Here is a 6,008-nt window from a genome sequence, read left to right on the forward strand (position 1 = left end):
CACTCTGGCACTGGCAGGAAAAGTGTTGCAGGTGGTGGGCCTGTCCTCAGGCCCTCCAGTGGTATGCATGGGAGCAATGATCCTTAGATTTCTATCTGTAAGGTAGAGATAATAATACTATTTGACTCCTTAGGTTACAGTAATTATCTGGTAGTATAACATATGGAGAGTTTCTAGCATAAAGCCTAGAATATAGAAGGTGTTTCATTAATAAATGCTATTTTCCTGAAGATAATGGTTTTCTATTTGGACCATACACTGGGCTATCTATCAGGTGACATGAGTTATAGGCGTATATTTGCCACTAACCAGCTATGTTACCTTGGGACAAGTTACTAAATCTCTCTTGTTCCTAGTTTATAAACCCAGAAAAAGTTCTGTGTCACTTTTTCCTCCAGGGTCGCTGTGAGCACATACAATTCTATGAATTTTTATGACTTCATACTAGGTAAGAAGTAGCATTCATTTTACTTTTAAAGTGTCCTTTGGTCAGGTACTTCAATGGAAAGTCTTGTTTTGATTATTAAAACCTTTTCATAATTCATTGCATATTCAAAAAAAGAAACTCTTTTTATAACTCATAAAATTTGAATACCTGATTAGTGCACATTTCATATCTGTTAATTCTGCATCTGTATTTTCACAATTTAGCATATAGATACATTTGGTAGTCAATTCTGTATTTATAAAGATATATATATGTATGTGTATATATGTGTGTGTGTGTGTGTGTGTGTATATATATATATGTATATATATATACACACACATATATATAGTAGAATCAGAAAGATACCTTTACTGACATTTTGTAGCCCCAATTCTTGATGTCAAGGTCAAGAATTTAATAAAGATCACAGGCAAAATCTGAACAAAATACTAGTCCATTTGGACTGAGCTCATTCAGAGGATGGTGACCATTTCTTCTGCTGAGCTTGGTGAAGGGAGTGGAGAAAAAGAGAAGTGGAGATGACATAGTTAAGCTTTGCCATTGATCACACCAGTCTTATTGTCAGATTCTTCTTCATTTATAGCAACAGTATTTGTGTATGCATAATTGGCACTCTGGCAACATACAGGGCCTAGCACTGCAAGTGGAAGCCAAAAAGGTGCTGTGCTGGAAACAAAATCATGAAGGGATAATAGAAGTACTGGAGAGTGGATTAAGGTCAACCTATTGATACCAATATTGTACTTGCACTATGGTCGGATCATGGATTTGTTACCTTGTCCTCTTCTTTCCTGTGATTTTTTTTCTGCAAGATTTGCTTATATGAAGCTTTAAAAAAATCCTAAATGTGAACATAATATACTGACTCATATCTATCCCCAAAGCCCAGCATTTAAGTTGTTGCTTTATTTCTTACATTCTGACCCTAAGAGGCTTCATACTAAAAGAATTTTGGACACTGAGAAAGGTGCAAAGACTTGAAAGCATCCTTTGAATAAATATCAGTAGTAGCAAGTCCACAATAGATTCACCTACTGAGATTGCCAACACACATTCCTTAGAATCATGAAAGTCAAGTCCATGCTGGAAAGCGAAACGCTGCCAAAGACTATTCTTTAAAATGGCCAGCAATACTAATTTCAATCACTAGTGTATGTGCCACTTGTCTTCATTATTTGACTTGCTTTTTAAAAATCTATAGAATAGGCATCTATTCAATCTGCCTCAGAATATTTTGAAAGCTTATAGTAAAATAGTACAAATGAAAGTACTGGGAAAAGGTCGATATGTGGATTTGCAAAATATCTTTTAAAAAACAGCTAAAACAACTGTTATTTTTCAATTTTCCTACGTGTGTTTAGAAAAAATCATTAAGAGATGATCATTTGGGACCCTATGGTGAAATAGGTGTCTCTGGAAGCCCACTAATGTGCTATTTTGTAGCTGGAATTCCACTGTTACCCTTCCAGAAATAAATTCCTGCTGTTATCATTCTGGAGAACAAAGCCTTGGCTCTAGATTTGTGTTTTCCCTCAGATATCGTTGTTATTTCTTGGAATCCATGAATAAACTTCTTCATCCCCTTACATTTCAATGGTTTTACTTTCTATCTCATCTTATCTCTTAGTGTTGTGTTGTTTGAGTTCAACACAGCAGCAAACCCAAGTACAGAGATGATATTCAGGGGAAGTTCATAAACAGCCAGAGATCCTTGAGGGCTCTTTGATTTCCTTGCCACTCTTTTATTTTAAAAACAAATTATTCTCCTTGGCCTTCAGATACCTATGGTGTCTCTTTTGTCAAAGTTGACCCTCTAGCCTGTCTGGCACTCCCCCTTAAGCCTTCCTTCCTGAACTCTGATCTCTGTCCTGTGGCTGAGATCTTGGTTCTTCTCCTTGGAATAATTCTCCTGCAAGCTCTAATACATTCGGCTTGTAGCACCTAAGAGCAGATTTCTTTTTTGGTAACTGATATTCCTCCAAAGAGAGTTCACTGAAACTAAAACCCACTCCTTCGTGCCACTTCACTCTGTCACCCACTAACTGATCACTATAATATAGTAACCTCTTGCATAAAATTGTACCTCAGTCATGCAACAATCATCACTAGCCTCAAACCTAACCATCCTTTCATACCTCATGACCTTACTCTTGCAATTAAAAGCACATTTTTAAAGTCACCCACAATGTGTGGCATACCTGGCTTGGATTTGGGTCAATTTCAATTTTCTACCCCTTTCATTTTGAATAAATATAAAGGGTAATGAGACTTAATTAATATGTTCAAATATATGTAAATGACAAGCATTGAGCAACTTTCATTAAGTGTTACATCATCATCATCACCATCATTTTCTCATCCTTTCCAAACCTAGAATTTTTAGACTACTCAAATGCCATGTATCTCCAGTTTGGGACCAGGACCACAGGATTCCACTTGGCTGTGCAGTCAGAAGGGAGAGTGAGTGAGGCCTGAAGCTGTAGAGCAGTACTTTTCAAATAGAATCACTGGAAGGAACTTGATACTTCTCATACCTAGGACGGGCCAACTAAATCAGGACCCTGGGGTGAAACTTTGAAACCAATATTAAAGATCCCTAGGTACTTCTACTCTGCAGCCAAGGTTGAGAATCACTGTTTTACAAACAGCCCGTGTTTCTGTTAAGTCTACTAGAAGCAATTTAAGAGCTCCTTTCTGCCCTCTGAAAGACAGTGATTTGCTTCATGGCAGCAGGTTTTCCCAGTGAAATAAACAGCAAAATCAGAGAGAGACTGGACCATCTAGGAGTGGAAAGCAGCAGGTAGAGCACCTGGGCTTGAAGATTGGTTAAGACAGATTTCGTGTGCCTGAGTTTGACTCCCCACTCAGCCATTTGATAACTGTGTAGACTTCATCAAGTTATCCAGTGTCTATAAGATACAAGACCCTTTTTTGTAAAGTGAGGCTAAAAATAACAATGAGGTCACAGATGTGTAGTAAGGACTAAATGAAATACTTAACATATATCAGTTAACTTAGGTCATGTAGCATGCACTCTTTAGAGTATACAACCATTACTCTTATTATTATTATTAAGGAAGTGGAGGATCAGTTTGTCACATGGTCTTCTGATAGTTCCTCTGAAGTCACATGAAAAATGAGTAAAGGTAGAAAGTAGCAACTTTTAATTCATGTTATAATGTTTTATTTGACTTTATATCACCATTTGACATAGTAGGAAAAATCTAATTGAAATCATAACCCAGGATCAAAGGTATATGCTTTTCCAGGATATTCTCCAAGGCCCCATGCAACAATCAGATTTGCATCAAATCTTCCTATACTGGCTTTCAAATCATATCCTCTTAGAAATGGTAGGTGTTCAAAAATATTCAGTGCATTTCAGTAGGGGTATATCTTTCATCAGATTCAATGGTCTATATGGCTGGAACCTACATGCCTGGCATTGTCCTAGTTATCCCAGACTCCAGGGACAACCATACCCATTATTCATGGGCTCAGAGATATTACATAATATAGTCAAGGTTGTACTTCTAGTCAATGTCAGCTATCACATCTTAGCCCAGGTGGGGATGACTCAAAGTTGTACTATTTCCCATGCAATGCAAAGACGGGGTCAAGAGGAAGACAACTGGGCCATAAGAACAAAGAGGAGGACAGAAAGGAGGTAACATTCTGCTCCTGTGGCTTTATACTTTTCTTATCATTTCCCTTGTACCCAAGTGCCCTCCTGCTTCCTTTTCCAGTTATTCCTCTGGTGGTGGCAGTGCCATTCAATCTCACTGTCAGTGTCTCCCTCGCTTTTCTGTAAGAGAAAAAGATAAGCACATTTTCAAAAAGGAGCACAAAGGGAGCTTATACGTGTTAGTTGAATAATTATTAGAACTCACAGGCTCTATTAAAGATTTGGATAAGAGCCCTACACATGGGACTGGAGATAGAAGACTGGCTTGAAACTCCGTCTCCTGCATTGCCACTGTTTGCATAACCAACAGGACACTGTGTCAGTTTTGGATGAATTAGATTTTTCACAGCGAAGGTTAAGACAAGAACAAGGGATTATGGTATATTCTAATGAAGTACTGGACCCAGTGATTCTGCGTCAGTGCAGTTGAATAATTGCCTGCTTGTGGGGGTTTAGATGATTTGCCCAATTATACATGCTTTGGAAAAAACTAGACTGTATCAGTGGTGACTGCTATACAGCAATGAGTGAGAAATCGCTCATAAAAGCTGCACATTTTGATAGCTTCTGGCTCTCTGAAGTTTTCTGATTTGAAGCTCTAATCACTCCTGCTTATTCTTAACCATGAGTAAATTATTTGAGAAGTGTCAGACACATTTTACTCATCATGAAGATGTACATTTTTCTCCCAAATAAAAGGAAAATAAAACATTACTTTCAAATGGTAAAATAAAAAGCTTTAAAATAACTTGTTCTTAAAACTAGTTCTTAGCTTCATGCAAAATAGAGGAAGCTTTATAAAATAAAATAAAACAGATGTTATCAAATATTTGAATTTGCATCAGGTTACGAATAATTGAAATTTAGACTACATCTAAATTTAGATAAATTTATGTGTATTTCATCTTCAGAAAACTCCATGTTAATGTTTTGATGCTGTCACATTAATAGAATCGGAATCAGCCAATATCAAACATAATATAGCAGTAACTTTTCTAAAAATATGAGATTGTGTGTGTGCATGTGTGTACATATATATGGTAATGTATCATCACTACTAAAAGTATCTCTATAGTTTATAAGAATGAATGGGGCCGAGTGCCATGGCTTACACCTGTAATCCAGCACTTTGGGAGGGTGAGGCAGGCGGATCACGAGGTCAGGAGATAGAGACCATCCTGGCCAACATGGTGAAGCCCCATCTCTACTAAAAATACAAAATTAGCTGGGCGTGGTGGGATTACGTGCCTGTAATCCCAGTTACTCAGGAGGCTGAGGCAGGAGAATCACTTGAACCAGGGAGTCAGAGGTTGCAGTGAGCCGAGATCGCGCCACTGCACTCCAGCCTGACGACAGAGCAAGACTCTGTCTCAAAAAAAAAAAAAAAAAAAAAAAAAAAAAAAGTATGAATGAGGCACAGTGCATAACTCTAAAGGACTCACTGTCTCAGCTATTTGGGAATACTTTTTCAGTTTTGCACTACTTTTGAGGGCAGATGCTAGAATATAATGCAGAGGTTGAGGTTTGGTTTAGAGCAAATATCAGAACACATCATCACTCTAGACTGAAATAGGTAATGACAAAACTTCTTTTTGTTGTTGTTGTTGTTGTTGTTTTGAGACGGGAGTCTCGCTCTGTCGCCCAGGCTAGAGTGTAGTGACGCAATCTCGGCTCACTGCAAGCTCCGCCTCTCGGGTTCATGCCATTCTCCTGCCTCAGCCTCCCGAGTAGCTGGGACTACAGGTGCCTGCCACCACGCCTGGCTAATTTTTTGGATTTATAGTAGAGACAGGGTTTCACTGTGTTAGCCAGGATGGTCTCATCTCCTGACCTCATGATCCGCCTGCCTCGGCCTCCCAAAGTGCTGGAATT

Source organism: Homo sapiens, chromosome 16 (genome assembly GCF_000001405.40).
Source record: "Homo sapiens chromosome 16, GRCh38.p14 Primary Assembly".
Classification (NCBI taxonomy): Eukaryota; Metazoa; Chordata; class Mammalia; order Primates; family Hominidae; genus Homo; species Homo sapiens.